The sequence below is a fragment of the Homo sapiens genome, chromosome 8 (genome assembly GCF_000001405.40).
Source record: "Homo sapiens chromosome 8, GRCh38.p14 Primary Assembly".
NCBI lineage: Eukaryota > Metazoa > Chordata > Mammalia > Primates > Hominidae > Homo > Homo sapiens.
Window position 1 is genome coordinate 55,492,316 of NC_000008.11, and position 24,043 is coordinate 55,516,358.

The 24,043-nt window shown below is 41.9% G+C and overlaps 1 protein-coding gene across 1 annotated transcript in view; it reads left to right on the top strand.

Annotated features, from left to right (window-relative positions):
• XKR4 (XK related 4) overlaps positions 1–24,043 on the top strand; it is a 440,027-nt gene that overhangs the window by 390,288 nt on the left and 25,696 nt on the right. The gene's annotated exons all lie outside the window — the stretch shown is intronic.

The window sequence follows — 24,043 nt, forward strand, 5'->3', positions numbered from 1 at the left end:
AATGGGCCAGATTGTCTCAAAAATTACAAGTATATTAAACACTAAATATGTATATGTTTCTTCTTAACCCCAAAATACTAAGCCATGATTTTATTTCTCTTAAACATTTCTATATTTAATTCTGAATTTTACTGGGTTTAAAAGATTCTCACCCATTAAGGAAAACAGTCACCATCCCCATTAACTGAACCACAACACTGATTGTACTGATTGTGTTCTAGGCAGTCCTGAGGGGACTCACTGAGTACTCTTTGTGATTGCCATGTCCATGATGCCATCGCTTAGAAGAAGTGCCACTTGGCCCACATTCCTGAATGCAAGATAAACACATTAATTCTTCTGTCTACTCACAGCAGTGCTCAACTCCAACTCCAGTTGATCGTTTGATCAGATTCTTCATTTGTTTGGTTCCTAAGATATAGACATGTCTTTCTTTCTGTCTTAAAAGGCCTTTAAATTCCATGGAATCCTGCATTTTTTTCAGTCTCGTGATTTACAGATGATGTATTGCTATTCAGTTGAATTTTAGATCTCTCTCCTGGCATTATCAAACTTGCAGCCATAACATCTGAGGTCACTCTCTCAGCACCAGGGGCCTTGTGAATCTGTGAGCACTGTGCCAGCACAGCCTTACAAAGCTGTGGCTCAGACAGGGCAGATGTGATCCTCAGTAGCAGGGCAATTGTAACTATGCCAACAATGACTCTTTGGGTCTGGGGGAAAGTTTCTGTCTATCCACAGTGGACTCTAGAGGATAGTGTGGGCCAAGTGGATATAGTATTGGTTCATTCAGAAAAATACAAACTTCTCTAGGTATCTCAAGCTAGAAAGTGATTTAAATTAAGGAATTAAGAGACAAAATGTGGGAGCTAAAGGAGCAAAAATTGGGAAAGTTGGTGGTTTCCAAAGATGAGAAACATCAGAAAATCATAGCATCCTACCAGGAGTAATGCCCATCTAATTCCTCATTTCTCTTCCCTGATACAGCATGTGAGCTCCAGAAAGCCTGGGTTTTGCTAGCTATTTCCTCTGCAGGCATCTATGCTCACCTCCAGAGGTACTAGAACTGCTGGCACTATTGCAATAGTCTGTAGTCACCTGCCTCTGCCATAAGCAGGGTAGTTTCTATCTTCTTCCCACATTTAATTTGTTATGAGTGCCTCCCATTGCCAACAAGGAATCCCAACTGAGCACAAAATCTGGCAAATGCAGTTTGCAGGTTTCCAGCCACAGTGGCTTAGGGAAGAGTATAAAAGAGCAAGTATGGGTCTGTAGCTATAGCTACATTAAAGCTATGGCTTTAATGACTCTATTTTTGAAAAGCCTGACACATAGGAAACTCTCAAAAAATAACTGTGGTTTCTGTTATTTTTATTTAATAAGCAGTGGCATGAAAAGTCAACCTATATCTGGGCTAACCATACAGGAACAGACTGTAAAGATGACTGTGCCCTTTACCCAATAGTGCTACCCATCCACACAGTTCTCCTTTTTCCATTTCAGGAATGGATAAAACAATGATTGTATTGATTTCCTGCTCACTGTGGTATTAATTGCTTGTGGTCCCCAAACACAATGTAAGTTAGTAATCTTCGTATCCATCCATTTGTTATAGGATTTTTGGGGTGTCACTTCACCAGCTGGAAATCTCTGTGGCTAGTGGTGCCTTTGCCCGAGTTTTGCTCTGTCCCACTGGGCTCATTCTGCCCATTTGGCCTGTCAGGCTGCGTTTGGCTCATGCTACTGGCCTAGATCCCACGCCTGCCAAGGGCAAGCCAGGCACAGAGCAGCGAGGGGTGTATGAGTGGAGTGTGGGGTCCAGGCATGCTAGCTGCTGCTGCAGGGTGGGCAGCTCCAGGTGCCAACACAGGCACTGGCTCCCTGTGAGGGCACAGCTGGACCAGGCACACCACAAGCAGCACCCACAGCTGGCACTAGGGAACATAGTGGTGCCCACAAGCTTGGAGATGCCAGGAACCACAGGGCTCCAAAGAGGGAGTCACAGCCCTGGCTTGGGGAGTTCCCAGGTTTGGGCTCCCCAAAGAGCCACAGCTCTCCTCTTCTTTTCTTCACCCACAACATGGCAAGCAAGAGGCATGTTTCAGCCCTGTTTGTGTTACAGCTCTTTTAGCCCCGCCATTCAATGGGTCCCAAGTTCTTGTCCTGCATCCAGGAAGAATGAGGTATGCAGAGAAGTGGAGGGCGAGCAAGACGAAGAGGAGTTTTATTAAGTGATAGAACAGCTCAGAGGAGACCCAAAGTGGGTAGCTCCTCTCTGCAGCCAGGGTGTCCAACGAGTGTTCAGCTCTCAGCAGAGAGGGTAACTCCTCTCTGTGAGCAGGTCATCCTATCATCGTTTCAGTTCTCAGCAGAGAGTGCCGCTCCTCTCTATAGCTGGTTGTCTGTCCTTTCTCCATCCTCTCTTTGAGTCTGGCTGAGTCTGGGGTTTTTATGGACCTCAGACGGGAGGAAGTGCATGCTGATTGGTCCATGCACAGCCATGGGTGGCCATGGGCAGGCCCAGGGAAAAGCACTACAAGTTCCCCCTCTGGTCTGCAGGACTGACTGCCCTGCCCCCAGGCTTCATGACCTCCCCAGCTGGAAGGTGGGGCATCACCAGGCACATGCCCACTTCCACCCAGGAACCTGTCTGTCTCCTGCCACTGTTCATGGCTCCCAGGCTGTTCATGCTGAGGGGTGCTGGCAGGCCAGCACCAGGCTGTCCTCAATACCTGCTTGGCCTCCCTCCCACGCTTGTCAGTGCCCAAAGTCCAGAGCGGGCTGAGGTAGCAGGGAGCTGGCATGTCAGTGCTGCCTCGAGCATGTGCACACCCAGCCAGGCTTACCAGTGCCTAGACTTGGCCCAGACTTGTCCCCTACTTTGCTCTGAGATTGGAGTGGGCACTGACCACAGGGAGAAGCCAGGCAGTGAGAGCAGGTGCTTCTGAGCCTGCTGCAGGTAGCGAGGGCCTTCCTGGACCCCCAAGAGCACAGAGATGCCTGGGTCTGGAGCTGCAGCAGAGTGGCTACAGCTGCACCCAAGGAGCTCCCGCCCCACCCACTCAGAAGGAGCAGGGCTTCCACTTGTCCCAGCTCCTGCTGGCTCCATGGAGCATGAACCCCCAGCTGTGCTTCCTCACAGCCTGTGGCAGGTGTTCCAGGTTCTTGCTGTGCCCCTCTCTACCCATTCCTCCGTGCCCTACCACATTGGCACGCAGCTCAGCCCAGCCCCATCACAGTGGCTTCCAGGGTCGTGGGCTCCAGGGGGCCTCCCAGGGGTGGATTTGAGGATTGTCTCCTTCCCCCCCAGGCCCTCCCCACAGTGGCGGTGGATGATAGTAGTGACGTAGGGCCAGGGTCTGGAGGAGCAGAGGCTCTGGGCAAGGGAGTGGGTCCCACCCAGCTGCGAGAGGTTGGATTGGGGGCAGCTCAGTCGACTGCCTTAGGGATGCAAAGCACAGGAGACCCACCACTGCCACTACTGCTCCCGCAGCTGCTTCTGCTGCCACTGCTACTGCCTCTTCGCTGCAGCTGGTGGCCACTCCAGATGGCCTGCAGCTGCCATCACATTCACAGTGAAAGAAGTTTTTTACCAAATGTATATATTCACACACCTCAAAAGCACCATATGAGAAATATTTTAGAAAAATTGCCTCAAGCATAACATCAAGGTCAAATTAACTTGAGACTATGAAGTCAGCAATGTTTGCTTAGAAATTAATTCAGTCATTCAGTCAAAGCTCACCTGCTGGCTGTTGCCAAGAGGGCTTTGACGATATGGTCTGTAAGGAAGTGGGACACCGTAGGCATTTGATATATGTTAAGTAATAGTAATGAGGGCAATAAGTACTCGCATACTGAGTGGAGGGAGCTGTTCGGGTTAAGAAGAATGCTTCTAAGCTCTAATGCTTAATGGATAAAGATTAGGACTCTGGAAACCTTTCTATAGTCAACAGAATCATTGTCTCTTATTCACCCTGGCTGCCAATTCCTGGACCAGGGTCTGATAATGCAAATATCTCTTTAAATAGCAGTCTAAAAGAAAACTCATATTGTGTTTCTTTAAAACAAAAAAAAAATTACCATTTGAGCCAACCAGATACCTGGGCTTAAATTCTGATTCTGTCCCTTACAAAAGGAGAGATCTTAAGACAGCCAACCTCTCAGAGCTTCAGTTTACTCATCTAAAAATTAGGGCATTGATAATACATTTTTAAGATTGCACAGTGCTTCTCACATAAGTAATGGGTATTCTTATAAAACCAATCTGCAATTACAGGCAACTTTGGACAAATTTCTTCTTTAAGAAACTACAGTGAAAACCTAGATTCCCTCCCAACTCCCCTGCAAAAACTATGTAGGCTTTTGAATGTGATTTTATATTTGAATCTCTATATGTTATATATCCTACAAGTGCACCTCAGACAAAACACTGCATATCTAATTCTGGTTGAGGTGAGCAATTCATTTTCCTAGTTCAACATTTCTCAAATATTTGACATATTTTCATAAATTATAATCCCATCATTAGAAAGTACCATTTAACAGATCAGAATTTATTCAATATATCTGAATAGTTCTAGGGGAAAATAACTGTGTCAAATATCCATACCAGCCTACCCAATCTGTCCCTTCAGTAGTGATCTCCACCAGAAAAATGAAGCCTGTAAGATCCTGCCCAGGAGCTCCCTAATCCTACACCTCAATGTCCGGTAAATACATCCATCCTGTGTGCATTCAGGAGAGATTCATGCTGCAATACACTTTCGTCCATGAAAATGTCTCTTCTCTTCACTGATCTATGAGAAATATTTTTGAGCTGTAAAAGCAAACTCCTGAACCGTATTTCCCAGATGTCTATTTAACAAACTGCCATTTCCCTATTACGCTAAGCACTTAAACTCAACACTAAAAGTCAAATAAGAGATTGAATATAAATGTATATGTGCTGATCAAAATACAATAATGAAAAAGGCTCTGATAAGGACTCTACAAAATTTGTGGGAGGATTTGTTTGTGTGTGTTTTTAATATGTTTTTAAATGGGCCATCATAACAGGCAGCTTATTGATTATATTTTTTTGACGTTTATAAAGTTGGGAAAATAATAACCAATAATTATTGAATGTTTATTATATGTGTCTGTTCTAACCTTTTGCTTTATTAACTTATTTACCCTCAAAACAATCCAGTGAAATAAGTCCCATTGTTATCTTTATTGTCTTCCCAAGAAGACCCCACTTCAGAAAATGTGAACTTCATTCTTCTAGTTGTTCAGGCAAGACCTTTGGCATCATCCTTGAGTCTTCTTGTTCACACCCCACATTCAATCCAAATTCAAGTAAACAAATGCAAGTGTCAAAGACAAATGTGCAATGTATATTTCTCCTATTTCGAGCCTGCTGGATTATTCCAATGACCTTACTGACCTCCTTGCACTAGCCCTTGTCCCTGCAGTCTAGTGACCACACAACAGCCTGGGATTCTTGTGAGATCCAAGCCGGATCCTGTCACCTCTCTTCTCAAGAGCCCCTAATACCTTCCCACCTCACACCGAGTGAACCCCAAAGTCCTCATGCTCTCCTGCAAGACCCTACACCAGTGGCCCGGGATCTCCCAGACTCAGATCCCCATCCCCGCTGCTGTTCCACACTCAGCCCTCTGGTCACACCCACTCCAGGCTGGCCCCGAGGATTAGGGAGGGAGCCAGAACAGGGGTGCAGGGCCTGGCTTTGCAGGGCTCCGCTTGGGGTTTAAGACTACTCTTTGTTGCTGTCTTGATATTCTTAATAATAAAATATCTCTGAATGTGTGTTTGCTAAGAAAAGACCAAAAGAGCCTCAGCTGGGGACCACACACCTCAGCCTCCCATGGCCTAACCTCCAAGGATGGGCTCTGGCAGCCGCTGCGCCCTAAGGCCCACCTGTCTAACTGGACTAACCCGGTCCCACTGCTAGGGAAGACGGATCCCCATGGTCGCCTTCCGTCCCAGAGTGAACCTGGACAGGGCATGCAGGGGGTCAGGTCATGTGCAGAGGGTCAGGATCGTGCATGTCCCTGGCACCTCTGCTTGGCCCGTGCAGCAGGCTTTGTCACCAGTCCTGTCCAGGCACCGAGCGCATCCTAGCAGGAAGGTTACAGTCTCCAGGGGTCACCTGGCTGCTGTGAAACGGGGTGATGCAGGGCCGGGCACAGTGGCTCACCCCTGTAATCCCAGCACTTTGGGAGGCCGAGGTGGGAGGATCACTTGAGGTCAGAATTTTGGACCAGCCTGGATAACATGGCCATCTCTACAAAAAAATACAAAAATTATCTGGGGCCAGTAGCGTGTACCTGTAGTCCCAGCTACTCAGGCGGCTGAGTCAGGAGGATCGCTTGAGGCCAGGAGGTCAAGGGTGCAGTGAGCTCTGATCCTGCCACTGCACTCCACCCTGGGCAACAGAATGAGACCCTGAGAGAGACAGAGACAGAGAGAGACAGAGACAGAGAGAGAGAGAAGCTCACTACTTTATGTCTATATCCCTAGCATTGGATACTTGCAATGGAAATTCATCCAAATTTTCTGAAAAACTGAGTTTCCACTTTGTAGATGAGGAAATTGGGACTCAGAGAAGCGAAAGGACTTGACTTTCTAGGATCCATCCACTCCCAGGCAGTCTGCCTCAGGGGCAAGATATTCAAGGCCGTAAATAAAGCCAATTTATCTGCTGACATTTCAATCAAACATAAGATGAAATCCTCCTTTTTTCATTTGGTCTTCTCCTGGTTACTTGAGGAAACGTTAACAAATATCTTCAGAATCCAGAAAGAATGTCGACTGACTTCTAGATAGTAATCTTATAGAAACTATAGGCACCAAAGTTAAACATTAAATGTGAAAATATGAAACCCACAGGCTATGCTAAGATAATGTATGGGGAAGCACTATGAAATTTGACATTAAGGTGACATTATCATTATTTTAAATGCCTGGAGCATAGAGGTCCTTTAAAGAAAGGGGTTATTAACATGTTCCTTAAATCAATGCAACTTTTCTCTCAATACTATTTATCCCACTGTTTGAAAATCATTTCCCACCTACCATGTGACACACATCAGATAGTCCTTGGGACCCCAAGGACAGAGTTATTCCACTCCAGAGGGCTTCATTTTTGCAAAAATAATGACTGGCAAATATCTTTTCTGGTGTTATTTTAGAAAATTTACAAGTTAGGAACCTGAAAAGTGTTCCAGAAGTGTGGTCTGTTAACAGGCAGAGAGAACTTGTTCTCCTCACATCTGCAGTGACCTATTGTGAGATGGCCCCTGGGACTGATCACGCCACTGAACTGAGACTTGCAAAGATGATGAAAAGAATTCAAGGCAACTGACTACAGCAGCTTGGCAGAGAGAGCCGTCACACACTAATAATACTAATTTGGTCTTTATTTTTATATTTACACAGCAGTCGGCTGAATATCCAGCTGTTGCGCTGTCTTTAGCAAACAGTTCTCCTTTCTGATTTTGCTTTGTTTTGTTTGGGCTATCACTGTAATTCAGGATGGAGCCTGGAGATTTTCCTCCAGTATGTGAATTTCTCAATCCCTAGGTGTGCCCTCCTTGTGTCTATATGAAACAGAGTATGCATACCTCTTGAAAGTAAGAGGAAAGAAAATAATAGCCAGTGTCAAAAATGTTATCACATTCATTTTCTTCTTTCAACTCTTCCATCTTCCTTCTCTAGAGCTTGAGAGCAAAGGTGAGAGGAAATGGTTTTACTGCCTGAAAGGTGTCCTCGAAATGCTCTGTGCTGCAGGGAGGAAGGGCACGATGAGGAGCAAGCTACTCAGAAGTTCTGGGAAAAGCATCTGCTCCTTCAAATTGGGCCAAAAAAAAAAAAAAAAAAAAAAAACAATGTAACAAGAACATTGCAGCAACAAGGAAAAAATAATCATAATCCTTGAATTCCCCTTGTTTTCCTGGCTTTATTTTTTCTCCATATTTCTGCAAGTGTAAGATATCTTCACCAGTATTGAAAGCCATATTCTTTTCTCAAAGGTCCAGATGACCTATTTTTCTCCCTGAGATTGTCATCAAAGATAGGTGAATGTCATTATGATGCTTATTTTACCACATTGACAAGATCCACCCATTATTCTCTAAGCACTTATTAAGCAGCATGTTAGACATACAGCTAAAAGACAAAGTAGACAACAGTCCTTCTCATCTAGGATCTTACAGTCTAGCTCACCACAGGAGACCCTTATGGAAATTACTAAACCACCCTCCTCTGTCCTCTTCCAACCCTAATCTAGGAAAATTGTATGACACCATCACTATTCCCTCTCATGGGAAGACTGATCACTTATGGGGGCAAAGAGAAGACGGAAACCAACATTTGCTGAACCTTCTGGTGTCTGACAGGGACACGCTAGGTGCTTTTGTATTTACAATCTCATTTAACCCTGCAAAACCCCTAAAAAATTAATGTTGCTATCCCTATTCCACAAATGAGAATGCTGAAGCTCTGCATGCCACGGAGCTATAGGTAGAACCAGCATTCAACTCTAGTTCTAAACCCAGGTTCAAAATACAGCCTTTGCCATTATACACACATGCCTACAAGTAACTAAGAATGGCTCTTCACCCAAAAGATATGTGCTGGCAAGCTGATAGATAGAAACAGGAGAGATGCAAGATAGAGTTACTTGAGTTTCAAATTTACATAACTCTGGAGCCCTGGCAGGTAATCAGTTAAGTAGAACAGACAGGTGTAATACTGTAGAGAATGCCGAGGCTTGTGGCAGATTGGAGGGACTAGTCAATGTAAAGCAACAAATTCAATTTTTTAAAAAACTTTATAGAAACCTAAATGTATCTGGTGCCAAATTAGTACTCAGCGACAGTGTACAACTTCCGCTTGAACTGTTAAGTTTATTAGAAATAGCTCCTGATTGTTTTTATTGTAGTAAAATACATGCAAAATAAAATTTATGGTTTGATATTATGTATATTTTACATAACATGTTAACCATTTTTAAGTGTACGGTTCAATGGCATTGAGTACATTCACACTGTTGTGAGACATTCACTACCATCCATCTCCAGAAATGTTTCGTCTTCCCAAACTGAAATTCTGTACCCATCAAACACTAACTGTTAATTCTCCCCTCACCTCCAGCCCCTGGCAACCACCATTCAACTTTCTATCTCTATGAATATGACTACTCTAGGTGCCTCATAGAAGTGGAATCATGCCATATTTGTCTTTTTGTGACTGACTTATTTCACTTGTTGTAATGTTTTCAAGGTTCATCCATGTAGCATGTGTCAGAATTTCCTTCCTTTTTAAGACTGAATAATTTTCTATTGTGTATGTTGTAAATACATACATATATATATATATATGTAACATTTTGTTTATCCATTCATCCATCAGTAAACATTTGGGTTGTTTCCACTTTTTGGCTATTGTGAGTAATGCTGTTATGAACATGGGTGAACAAATATCTTTTTGAGTCCCTGCTTTCAGTTCTTTTGGGTATACAGTCATCCCTCAGTATCCACGGGGGACTGGTCCCAGGACCCCCTGGGATAGCAGAATCCACAAACGCTCAAGTCTCTTATATAAAATGGTGTAGTATTTGCATATAACCTATAGCACATCTTCCCATATACTCTAAGTCATCTTTAAATTACTTACAATGTACAATACAGCGTAAATGCTATGTAAGGAGTTGGTATAACATATTGTTTAGGGGATAATGACAAGAAAATAAAAGTCTGTACATTTTGAGTACAGAGACAACCATCCTCTTTTTTCAAATATTTTTGATCCATGAATCTTTTCAATTTGAAAAATATATTTTTTCAATGTTTTTCAAATATATTTGAATCCATGGATGCAGAACCCATGGGCAAAGAGGGCTGACTATGTATCCAGAAATGGAATTGCCAGATCATGTGGTAATTCTATGTTTAATTGCTTGGAGAACTGACATACTGTTTTTCATACGGGATGCACCATTTAACATTCCCACCAACAGTACACAAGTGTTCCTATTTCTTCACATTCTCACCAACACCTGCTATTTTCTTTTTTTTTTTAAGTAATAGCCATACTAATAGGTATGAAATATGAAATTATATCTCATTGTGGTTTTAATTGGTATTTCTCTAATCCTTAGTGATGTTGAGTATCTTTTCATGTGCTTATTGGCCATCTGTGTAACCTCTTTGAAGAAATATCTGTTCAAATTCCTTTGCCCATTTCTAAATTGAATTTTGGGGTGGGGAGGTTGTTATTGAGTTATAGTTTTTTTTTAATATATCTTTATCAGACATATGGTTTACAAATATTTTTCCCATTCTATGACTGTCTTTTTACTCTGTTGATAGTATCCTTTGATGTACAAAGATTTACATTTTGATGAAGTCCAATTTATTTTTTTCTTTTGTTGCCTATACTTTTGGTGTCATACCCAAGAAATCACTGCCAAATCAAATATCATAAAGCTTTTCCTCTATATTTTCTTCTAAGAATTTTCTACTTTTAGTTTTTACATTTAGGCTTTTGATCCATTTTAGGTAATTTTTGCATGTGGTGTAAGGTAAGAGTCCACCCTTTTTGCATATGTTTTCCCAGACCATTTGTTGAAAAGACTTTCCTTTCCCCATTGAATGTCTTGGCAATCTTGTCAAAAATCGTTTGACCATCTATGTGGGGGTATATTTCTGGGCTCACTCTTCTATTTCATTGGTCTATTTGTCTGTCTTTCTGTCAGTACTACACTGTTTTGATTACTGTAGCTTTGTAGTAAGCTTTCAAATCAGAAATTGTGATTCAAATTTTTTTTTCAAGATTATTTTTGCTTTTCTGGGACCTCTGTGATTCCATACGAATTTTAGGATGGATTTTTCTATTTTTGTAAAAAATGTCATTGTGATAGGTATTTCTCTGAGTCTGTAGATCACTTTGGGTAGTATTGACATCTTAACAATATTAAGACTTCTAACCCATGAAAACAGGATATCTTTCCACTTATTTATGGCTTCTTTCATTTCCTTTAGCAACATTTTGTAGTTTTCAATATACATACCTTTTGCTTCTTTGGTTAATTTATAAGTATTTTATTCTTTTTCAAGCTATTATAAATGAAATTTTTTCTTAATTTCCTTTTCATGTTTCCATTACATGTATTGCAAATATATTCATGTTGTCCACTGTTAGCATATAGAAGCACAACTGATTTTATATTTATTTTTTATCCTGCAACTTTGCAATATTGACTTATTAGTTCTGTCATGTTTTTTGTGGAATCTTTAGAATTGTCTACAAATTATGTTATCTATTCAGAGATAATTTTAATTCTTCTTTTCTCATTTGCATGTCTTTTATTTCATTTTCTTGCCTAATTGCTCTGACTGGGACTTTTAATACTACTTTGAAGAGAAGTTGCAAAAGTGGGCATCCTTGTCTTTTTCTTGACCTTAGAAGAAAAGCTTTCAGTCTTTTACCATCAAGTATTTTTTTAGCTGTGGGCTTTTCGTTTATGGCCTTTATTATGATGAGGTAGTTTCCTTCTATTCTTAGTTTGTTGAGTTTTTTTAATCTTGAAATAGTGTTAAATTTTGTCAAATGCTTTTTTTGCATCTATTGAGATGATAATGTGGTGTGTTTTCCCCCTCCATTCTGTTAATGTGCTGTATTACATTAATTAATTTTTATATCTTAAATCATCCTTGTATTTCAGGAATAAATCCTACTTGGTCATGGTACAAAATCCGTTTAATATGCTACTGAATGCAGTTTGCCAGTATTTTGTTGAGGATTTTTGCATCAATGTTCATAAGGGATATTGGTTTGTAGTTTTCTTTTTTGTTGTTGTTGTTGTTTTTGTTTTGTTTTGTTTTGTTTTGTTTTGTTTTGTTTTGTTTGAGACAGAGTCTCACTCTGTCGCCCAGGCTGGAGTGCAGTGATGCGATCTCAGCTCACTGCAACCTCCACCTCCCTGGCTCAAGCAATTCCCCTGTCTCAGCCTCCCAAGTAGCTAGGATTACAGGCACACCCCACCACACCTGGCTAATTTTTTTTTTTTTTTAGTAGAGATGGGGTTTCACCATGTTGGCCAGACTGGTCTCCAACTCCTGATCTCAGGCAATCTGCCCACCTCAGCCTCCCAAAGTGTTGGGATTACAGGCGTGAGCCACCGTTCCCAGCTGTAGTTTTCTTTACTTGTAGTGTTTCTATCTGGCTTTGGTATAAAGGTAATTCTTGAATGAAGTAGGAATTGTTCCCTTCTTTTCAGTATTTTGAGAGTATTTGAGAAGGATTTATGGTAATTCCTCTTTAAATATTTGGTAAAATTTACCAGGGAATCCATCAGATCCCTGGGCTTTTCTTTGTTAGATGGTTTTGCCTAACAGATGTTATCTCCTTACTAGTGATAGGTCTGTTCAAATTTTTTATTTCTTTATGATTCAGTCTTGGTAGATTTTGTATTTCTAGGAATTTGTCCACTTCTTTTAGATTACCCAATTCTAATTGGCATACAACTCTTCATAGTATTCTCTTATAATTCTTTTTACTTCTGTAAAATTCGTAGTGATGTCCCAACTTTTGCTACTGATTTTAATAATTGAGGTTCTTTTTTTTTCTTAATCTAGCTAAAGATTTTGTCAATTTTGTTGATCCTTTTAAAGAACTAACTTTTGGTTTTCTTGATTTTCTCTATTGTTTTTCTATTCTCTATTTTATTTCTGCTCTAATTATTATTATTTCCTTTCTCCGGCAAGCTTTGTGTTTAGTTTGTTCTACTTTTTATAGTTTTTTAAGGTGTAAAGCTAGATTATTGATTTGAGACCTTATTTTTCAATGTGAGCATTTATATCTATAGATGTTTTAGCTTAGCATTGCTTTGCTGCATCTATTAGTTTTTGCTGCATCTATTAGTTTTTGCTGCGTTGTTTTTTCATTTTTATTTGTCTCAAGATATTTTATAATTTCCCTTGTGATTTCTTCTTTGACCCACTGGTTAAGAGTATGTTGTTTAAGCCTGGGCAACATAGCAAGACTTCATCTCTACTAAATAAAATAAAATAAAATAAAATAGCCAGGCATGATGGCACACACCCATAGTCCCAGCTACCTGAGAAGCTGATATAGGAGGATCCCTTGAGCCCAGGAGTTCCAGGTTGCAGTGAGCTATGATTGCACCATGATACTCCTGCCTGGGCAACAGAACAAGACCCCATCTCAAAAACAAACAAATTTTTAAAAAATAAAAATAAAGAGTATGTAGTTTAATTTCCATGTATTTGTGAATTTTACAGATTTCCCTCTGCTATTTATTTCTAGTTTCATCTCATTGTGATCCGAAAAGATACTTTCTATAATTTCAGTCCTTTGAAATGGTTTAGGACCTGTTTTGTGGCCTAATGTATGGTCTATCCTGGAGAATGTTGCATGTGTGCTTAAGAAAAATGTATTTTCTGCTGAAGTCCTCTATTTCCTTATTAATCTTCTTTTTGGTTGAACAACCTGATTTTTAAAAACAGGAAAACTAAAACAGATACTAAGATACATGAAGTAATTTGTTTTAAATCAGGCCATGTCCATCATGACACCAAATAATCTTCCTATATCAAAATATATATTTGAACTTTTAAAGCAACTTTTTCAAGAGCTGTCATATGTGGTCATACAGGTTCTGCACTGCTCAACATAAATGTGTGCAAATGCTTTAACTTCTAACTGGCAGTAGCCACCATTTTATAACTCTGAAGTAATTGAAAGACAGAATGAGATTCCCCTTGCAAAACACAGCCTGTATCCTTTCAGAGGTTTTTTGTGTTTGTGTGCCCCCTCTCCCACGAATGCATGAAATGCAAATTAAACAACAGGTGTTTTCTCTCAGTCCACAGGGCATCTGGGAGGACTTAGGACAGTGGGTGATGTAAGGAGAGGACTCCTGAATCAGTCTGGCATCTCTACTAACTAGAGATCAAATAGATAGGCCTGAAAGGCTCACAGCAAAAATCAGATACCAGCCACAAGGTTTCCCACTCAAGACCTCAGCCAGAAGGAAAAGCTGCAGATCAGGCACACACTATAGACCTGTACTGCAGTGCCTTGATCAGTCACTACCCCCAGCAGCAGCACTGACTTCATGTATGCCTTCCTTTCTCTTAGTGTCTTATTAAGAGCCTGGCTGAAGCCCTAGGAAGGTCAACACCCCATCTTCCACCTTGCACCATCTTTGTTTAAGATCTCATCTTGTTAATAGTGTAGAGATAATTTAATGTGCATACCAGTCCATTATCTGCCCATTACCTACTTCCCCTTTCCCTAACTAATATCTGAGAAAAGCTGATTTTGTGCCTGCTTGACTCAGACATGAAGTCCATTCTGCCCTCATTGTGTTTCAACTCAGAGATGAAAAGTCCATACAGACCTACTGTGTATACGAGTTGGTTTAGATTTCTGATGAAGTATATAATGCAAGCAATAGACTGTGAATGCAGCATTTATTGCACTCCATGGAAAATGCAGTGACTATGCTGGTTCACTGCTGACAGAATATTCCACAAGGACAATTACTACTTTCTTTTATCCAATGACAAGAATTATTTAACTCATTAAATTTTTTTTTCACTTTGGCTTCTTGGAAGCTCAGTTAATATTAGCTTAGGGTTGTGGTGTCACTTTTTTTTCTTATTCTCTGTCAATCATTTACTGAGATATGTTTCTTTATGATTATCTGGTTCAAGTCTTTTCTACAAGTTTATCATTCAGAATAAGCTTAATGGGGACTATTGGCCTCAGAATGATCACATGATTGTCACAGCCATTGGACCACATATATAACAGCATTGCCAAATTTTTCAGTTCCTTGTATTGTACTAACCCCAAAAGTCTGAGACATGTATAAACCCAGAGTTTTTATTGAGAACTTAGACTTGGCTTCTTTAATACTATCAAAGCACCCCTATACATATATTTATAAAAGCTGAAAATAATTGATTCTCATCCATTTTCTTTTTTTTTATTATTACTGTTGGATTTTTTTTTATTATACTTTAAGTTTTAGGGTACATGTGCACAATGTGCAGGTTAGTTACATATGTATACATGTGCCATGTTGTTGTGCTGCACCCAGTAACTCATCATTTAACATCAGGTATATCTCCCAATGCTATCCCTAACCCCTCCCCGCACCCTACAACAGGCCCCAATGTGTGATGCTCCCCTTCCTGTGTCCATGTGTTATTGTTCAATTCCCACCTATGAGTGAGAACATGTGGTATTTGGTTTTTTGTCCTTGCGATAGTTTGCTGAGAATGATGGTTTCCAGTTTCATCCATGTCCCTGCAAAGGACATGAACTCATCATTTTTTATGGCTGCATAGTATTCCATGGTGTATATGTGCCACATTTTCTTAATCCAGTCTATCCTTGTTGGACATTTGGGTTGGTTCCAAGTCTTTGCTATTGTGAATAATGCCGCAATAAACATACGTGTGCATGTGTCTTTATAGCGGCATGATTTATAATCCTTTGGGTATATACCCAGTAATGGGATGACTGAGTCAAATGGTATTTCTAGTTCTAGATCCCTGAGGAATTGCCATACTGACTTCCACAATGGTTGAACTAGTTTACAGTCCCACCAACAGTGTAAAAGTGTTCCTATTTCTGCACGATTCTCATCCATTTTCAAAGATTTAGAAAGAGCCTTGAATGTGGAATTGGTCATTTCCATTTAAAAGTCTCTGTCTTGAGAAATTACTGTTCTTTTATTGCTAGCTAGCATACAAATTCCTAATTGAAAAACCTTTACAAGCAGTGATGGCATGAATTGAACTTACTTCTGTCCTATTAGGGACATGTCTTGGTCAGGAAAGGAATGCACGTTGGATTCTTAATGATTTGTGTTTTATACGGTCTGTCCTCAAGGGCTATTTCAGTCCCCAGGATGCTAATAAGCAGTCCCTGATCCAGGTCATTTGTATTTTTTTATCAGCAAAAACAGCATCCAAGCCATACCTCAATTTAGAACATCTCTAAATTCAATTCTGTTCAATTCAATACAACTTATCAAATAATTATCAATTGTGCTAGGCATTTTCTGTTTCTGGAAGTGCAGCAATGAATAGATCTCAGTCCCTACCCTCATGAATGCCACAAAAGAGAAAGACTGACAAGTAGCTTGACAATTAAGTCACACAGAGGAGAAGCTTCTTTCTGGCCACCAGTGGGGAGAGGACAGGATAGGTTTCTCAAAGGAGATGGCTCAAGCAAGCATCACAGACTTGTCAGCCTGGAAGGATGATGGAGACTAGACCCAGATACAGTTCAGAGAACACAAGAGGTTCAAGAGAGAAGGAGGTGGAGGCCCTGAGCATTCCCAGGGGCTAGTCTGGGGCAACCCAAGGTGGGCATTCAGTAAGTGTTTACTGAATTGAACAACTGAGTATAAAGAAATCAGAAAAGAACACAACAGTGTGAAAATGAATGGAGTCATCGCTGCTTATTCATCAGGGTCACCGAACTCAGGCTACAGACTGCCTGGGACAGGGGATTCGTGTACTGACTTGACTTTGAGGTGAGTCTTAGTATAAAGCAACCCTCCATTTTTCCAATGAAAGGAGAACATATAAAACAGTTTTGAAGCCAACTTAAGTATATAAACTTTTGGAACTGGAGATGAAATAGCTGAATGTCAATGTATACTATTTAATTCATTATCTTAGTCACAAATACGAATCAAATAATATATGGATTGAAAAAGTTTACTTCTTTCCTTCATCATCATTTTTCAGTCTTCTAGAAGGCATAGTTGGGGAGCACTGCCTCTGTCCTCCGCTGCCTGTTGAATACGTAGCACTGCTCTGAACAGGTGTGTGAGGCACCTACTAGAGACAACACCTGACCAAGGTTCTTTCTTGCCATTTATGATCTTCAGAACTACTCACTATGTTGCTTTAAGAGGTTGATTTGTAAGATCCAAAACTTAATTGTGAACTCATACTTCCAGGAATGCTTCTTAAACTGAATTAAATTTCTGTACTTCCTTTTTCATTTCCATCTTGTCCTTTGTTTCACTGGTTCTGTCAGTAAATTTCTATAATCAGCCCAAACATGCAATGATTTAGGTCACTTCAAATATGTAGGCCTTCCCAAACAGAATTTTGTTATTTAAAAAATACAGTAATTATCAGAGCACCTCAAAATTTGGCAGGTCTGCTAAAAGGTGACTCCTGTTCCTAGGAGTGTGTATGGGGAAGAATCTCTCTATAATCATCCATGACAAATATGGAAGTAATTTACATTAGCTGGTGAAAGGCTTATTTATCTCTAAAAATAAGGTTATACTAGAAAAGATTGGCTGGACTGGCTTTGGTACTCCTGAACCTGGAAGCTGGCTATCACACGCCAAGTTTCTAAAGGCTGCCAAAGTGCCAGCCATTTCATCCTCTAAGAACCCTAGACTAGAGGGATCCTTAATAGGTCTGATCATCTGTTCTTTCGGCAAGAAAGGCATCTCTCACAGCCAGCGCTTTTCTAAAAGAAAGTTCATAGTGCTCCTGGTTAACCAAGACTGTGAGGTTCTTTCCTTTGGGCTTTGTTTTCTGAATGATGGAGGTAATACCTAGTATTTGTAAAACTCTACACTTTACAAAGCACTTCCACAGCCTCTCTCTCCCCTACTCCCAGCACAGTCCTTGGAGTTAAGAGCAGAACCTACTTGGGCTTCAGGTGACACACCCACACCCAGCAGGCAGAATGGCCCCTGTGTCTCCCCTCCCAGGGGCAGGAGAGACACCCACAGGCTGAGTCCTCAGGGAAGGTCAATACTGCAAGAAGGCCAGGCAGAAGGCCTAGGTGGCAGAGAGGATGGAAAGGGACAAAACGGCTTCCTGAGCCAGGATCCCAGGAGTCCTCCAGGTGGGCAAAGGAGTCCTTCAGGTGGAGAAAGGAGACCCTGAGACCAGGAGAGAGAGGAAGGGGGTCTCCAGGCAGAAGGTGGACGAGAAGCGGGAAGGCGCAATTCTGGAAGGACTTGGTATGTCATTTATCTTGTGGGGACATAAATAGGGAGTCCTTGAAGGGTTTTCAGCTGGGGAGATATTTGATCAGATTTCCATCATAGACAGTTCATTTTAATTACAAACTAAAAACCCCACGGGAGGGAGAGGGGTTACCAGGAGGACAGATAGGAGGCTTCATCTGATGGAGTCCTAAACTCAGGGATGGGCAGATGGGAATGAAGAGGAGTCCACTCTCCCAAAGCCCTGCAGGGCCCCAGTGTGACCCCCTCCCACCCCACATCTGATCCTAAATCCTAAACTGTGTCAGCTGAGATCAAGCTGCTGCTCCGGAAAAAGAGCAGCAAGTTACTCTCCTCTCCAAGGTGATCTTCATCATATTATTAGATGCTCTCATAGTCTGTCTTCCCCAGGAAAAACTTTTTCCTTTTTCAAAAGCCCTGAGCATCTCCCAGAGACAGCATGTAAAGGAGCATGCCAAGTGATGCCCTAAGAGTTGCAGGAGCAATGGCCCAGGTCCCGTGCCCTGCGATGAGAAGGGTGACTGAGAAGGCTGGGCCACTTCTGAGCCCTTGGGGTCCTCACACGGTGGGCTTTCTCCCAGCCAGTCCAACCATTAGAGCAGAGAATGCTACCCATCCATGTCCTCAGGGTATTGAGTTGTTTTTTGTAAATCACCTAGAAAGGCACTGCTGGGCTTGAAAGCACAATTTATTGCTGCATTATTAAATGGTCCCAGCAGCAAGCCACGTTCTTTTTATTGACAGAGTAAAAATGAAGCAACCCAGGGGGTGGGACGCTGGAAAATAGGACAGAAGCCGTGGTTCCAGTCCCTTCCCACCCCAGACACACAGAAAAAGTCCTTTTCCTGCTCCCCCTGAACCCCGCAGGCCAAGGAACCAATTCTATATTCAAGATCCTTAGAGAAAGCTACTGTGTGTAAAAGGTGAGGTATTTTTAAAGGGCATCAATTTCTGCCAGAAATTATTTGCGGAATGAAGCCAGGAAACATAAGCAATCAAAAGCAGACAAAGGAAGTGTCCGTTGAGGTCCCAGGACCTCAGAAGGGTTTGGACAGGCATTCCCTCTACCTTCTGCCTTCCCCCAACCAGCCCCTTGCCCCCAAGTCCTTCCCTTTCTGCCTCCTTTTCAGCATCGGGAGGAACCCCCACATATAGGGACCCTATATTATGAGCTGGGCCATGCCCTCCTTTCTTGTACACAATTCAGGAAAATCCTGAGGAAGGAAGCCACTAAAACCTGCTTCTGTCTCAGATTTCTCTGCAAATCCTGGAACAGCTTCGACTTCGCCCTTCCTTTTTTCCAACAAAGTGGACTCTATTGCATAGGCCTTTAAGCCAATAATATTAAGTACACATTCTGCACAGGTAAATAATGGCCAGTATTTTTCCTCATACTTTGAGCTGATTTTTGAAAATATTATCCTGTCAAAAGCATTTCTTTTATATCTCTAAGGAAGAAAAAAATATTTATTCTGTAGCTCGTACCTTTTATTGTATTCTTTCTCTGTCATGCTATTCTATTCAAACCAACATCCTCCAATAAAATTTCCTTCAATCCCGGGGCATTGAAATGCTCCAGAGGGGGAGTGGAGTGGGGAGGGCAAAACTGCAAGCAAAGCTAGGATTCAGAATGACCAATTATATTTATAGAGAAGCTTTTCTGTTCATAAAGTGCTCTAACAGACACATGGTGTCACTGATTCTCACTCACTCAAATCCATGAAAAATGGGTGAAGTCAAGTGACTCACCCAGAGGCACGCAGCTCCAGAAGTGACCTCTGCATCCTCTAGAGCTCCACAGAAATTGCTTCCCCACCCTCACTGCCATCTTCACCCAAGTATTGAGATAACTCCCGCCTCTGTCTGGAGGGTCCCCTTCCCTCTGGCACACTCTGCCCACTCAGGGATCGTACACGCACCTTGCCACGTGGCTGCCAAAGGTGCAACTGCCTCAGGTGCCACTGCCTCAGGATGATACCTGAGTCCCTTTGTCTGGGATATCATGACCACAGCCTCCTGCCTCCTCTGGCCAGCCCTCCTCAGCCCTGCCTCAGACACACCCAGGCCAGCCTCAGCCACACCTGCAAGCTTTGGCCTGTGCCCATCTCTTCTTGAGCTTCCTTTCCCCTCCTGGACCAAGCCTTAGTACACGGGTTCTCTCTTCTCTACACTGCTCACTATGCTGTAAATATGTATGTTGCAAATATATGTCTGTCTTCCATACTGATTTTTCAGTTCCTCTAGGGAACGATGTTTGTGTCTTTAGTGCCTGGCACTTAGTAGGTGTTCAATAAACATTTATGAGAGGAAAGAATTGAGAGAGGGATGGAGAGAGGAGGAAAAAGTGGGGAGGATATGAGTCTGGGCCTTCTGAGTGCAACCCACAGGTCACTGGAACACAGCTACCAATACACCCCTCCATGGATGGGCACGCCAGTGTGTTCTCTCTGGGGTCTCTCCTTGAGAAACTCTCCCACCACAGGTGTTCTTTCTGCCTTCCTCTCTACCTGGTAGGCAGAGACTCGTTTAAGCAGACTCCCAGCTCTCCTACCAGAAAAGGGCTTCAGGTCTCAAGGTTCACAAATGCAAATATTGGTGCCACCTTGTGTGATCATGAACATCCCACACCAGCACCGCCTCTACTTGTGCCACCTACCCCAACACCTACTGCCAAAGCATATCTTGTGCTCCTTAGTTTCATTCACCCTGGTCCCAGTGTGAGGCAGTGTGAGTGTCACCATTTCTCATCTTCTGGGCCCCCTTCCAAGTCCACGAAGCATGAATAACTCTGAATGTGGGTGAGTGGATAGTAGTTCTCCTTAGAATTCACACTTGATTACAGACCCCAGGGATGCAGACTCACTCTCCCAGGGATGCACTCATTACACATTCCCCTAAATAGGCCAGTAACTGTCAATATTAGTGATGCTTGCGGATGTTTTGTGGCATGTGGGCCATCGAATTCACATGCATGGCAGACTACAAAGGCACCTTAGGGACATCTAGGAAGGAGAACAGCTAAATTTCCATCTCAGAGGCTTTGGCCAGCATGGTCAGGGGTGAGGCTGGGTAGAAGAGCTGCCCTTCCCACAAATAGGGGCAGAATGAAGCACCCAGAGGACCAGCCTGAACCTATCATGCCTGTTCACTCTGCAAGTGCTTGCCTGCTGTCCTGGAAATAATCAGGAAGTGTATCGAGATGTGGCATCTGCGGTCCTTAACAGATACCCACAGGTGGAAAGAGTCCCTTTTCAAGAGGTTTATTCATGTCCATACTCCACCTTGTGTATAGGAGGTACTGACACCAGGAGGTTCCATAGGTTTGTTTGGTTGTTTGGCTGGCCACCGTGCCTCTGGGCTTTCATGCAGACAGCACCACCTATGCCCATACTGTAACCATCTAAAAAAGTTTCTTTGAGTTACCAGGTTTCACAATTGGCCTAAAATGTTTCCATGCATATAGGAAAAAGTGTAAGGACTTCGAAGTCAGAAAAATGTGGGTGTAAATCCTGCTTCTGTTACATGTTAGAAATGTGTCCACCAGTGAAATGAGTGAGGGGCCAGGAAACTGAGGCCCATGGGCCACATCCAGCCCACCTCCTATTTTTTCATCTGTTTAGGTATTTATGGCTGTGTTCTCTCAATAACAGCCAAGCCAAATGCTTGTGACAGAGACCCATATGGCTGACAAAGCCCAAAATATATATCTGGGCCTCTACAGAAAAAGTGTGCCACCCCTGGGTAAGATTATTTCACTTCTCTAATCCTCAGTTTTTTCATCTGTAAAATGGACAAAAAATTTACATTGAAGAAGTAGTGCTGTGAGAAATAAATGAGAAAAAGTCAGACACATAGCAATGCTTGCTTGCTACATGCTGGGATTCTTTTTTTTTTTTTTTTTTTTTGAGAAGGAGTCTCACTCACTCTTGTCACCCAGGCTGGAGTGCAGTGGCATGATCTTGGCTCACTGCAACCTCCGCCTCCTAGGTTCAAGTGATGCTCCTGCCTCAGCCTCCCGAGTAGCTGGGATTACAGGCATGTGCCATCATGCCAGGCTAATTTTTGTATTTTTAATAGAGACGGGGTTTCACCACGTTGGCCAGACTGGTCTCGAACTCCTGACCTCAAGTGATCCGCCCGCCTCGGCCTCCCAAAGCATGCTGGGATCATTAAATGCAGATTAACCTTGCTGTTTTCTAGCCATGTCATTCATGGACAGGTAAGAAAGGGACACAGCTTGTCTTCCTGTCTCCATCCGTGTTTCCCTCTTCATTTCTCGCCTGCCCCTGAAAGTAGAAAAGCAACAAAAAAACAAACAAAAAAATCATTCAGTGTCTTTTTTTTTAAACGTGGGATGGAAAATAAACTTACCCTAAACAAAAACTTAATTCTATTGGGCATCTCAGGTTACTTATTGTATCATCATTTTATTTTTAGTGTAAAATTAATCACGCAATATGTAGTACTGAACAAAGAAGAGGGCCTTCTTGCTTTCTCCCATTTACAGAATTTTTTTCTCAGAGAAAGTATTGTTTAGATAGTTTCAAATTCCCACACTTAAAATATTTGTCTTCTTGAGAAATTTTAATAAAAAACTAAATTTTATAATGGAATGGAGCTATGTGAGATTATCTGAGATATGTTTTCCCAACCAGAAGGAAATAATCTTCCATATTTGTCAAGAAGGAGGAGAGACACTTTGCTTCTCCCAACAACTTCCTCCAACTCTTTTTATATTAAAACTTTTTTTAATTTCAATTCGTTGTTTTCCTTATCATCTCCTCAGCAGACTCACAATTTGCCTTGCAAAGAAGTAGAAATCCTCCAAATGGATTACCAAAAGAAAGTATATCCCTACCAAAACTAAACATATTAAAGCATTTAAATATTTTTAATCAGAACTATTACAAGGTTTAAAACAGAGATAAAATGGCTTCAGTGCAGGGATACTGAGAAAGCCCTAGACCCGGTGGAGCTTGTATTACCTTCCTTCCCTTCACTGCACTCAGCAAAGATCTGAGCATAGAGGTTGTCGTGTTTTTTTTTCAATTATTACCTTCCTTCAACTAGGTTAATTAGCTATGATTCCAGCCAAGAGGTTCTACTGCTTTTATACTTGTAACTAAAAGACAATCTCTAAACACACTGCAGAAATGGGAAACCATTCTGGCTCTGGATATTCATTTTGTGACCTGCTACTCTTAGATCACATGATTCAACTCAAGTATGGAACTGTCTTTCCTCAGGCAAAAATCCAAGAAGACTAGGAGGCCTCTTTTAGATCAGAAAGTGCAAAGAGGAGAAAAGCATGGCTTTCCTCCCAGGTGCTTGTGCCTCTGATCCATTTTGTGAAAAGAATCCAAAATTGATCCTTTGGCCTTGGCACCAATATGGTTGCTACAGTCCTACAGGAATTAGTGTGAGGCAAACCTATTAGGGAGCAGTTGCCTAAAGAGGGGGCAAGAGTTAAAGACCTCCAGGTCCTCCACAGCCTGCCATGTACCCCGTGAGTGTGAACTGTGGGAGATTTGAGATGTCCCTGCACTTGTAAGTCTCATGCTCTGGTTGTTGGTGAAGGTAACCATACCAATCCATTGTGGTGGATGGAGCTTTGGAAGCAGGACTTCTGATGCCTGTTCTCATTGCTAATTACATGAGTGTGGGCAAGTCATTTAACCTCTCTTTGGTTCTGTTTGCCTGTTTGCAAAAAACAATACTTGCCTCAAAGTGTTCTTATGACACTTATATTGCACAAAGGCTGTAGTTGCCTAACATATCACTGTGCACAAAGCAAGGGCCCAACAAATGCTTGTTCCTTCTTAATTTGTCTATGATTATGAGCCTCATATGCACTAAAGAAACTATAAAATTTCTTGACTGCAAGAAATCAATATTATACTGCCATCTAAAATTCAGTATTGTGTTTGTTAGTTGGTTGGTTTACTTAGAAATTATGCCTTTAGGTGAAAAAATTATGGTGAGAGTGTGAGGAGA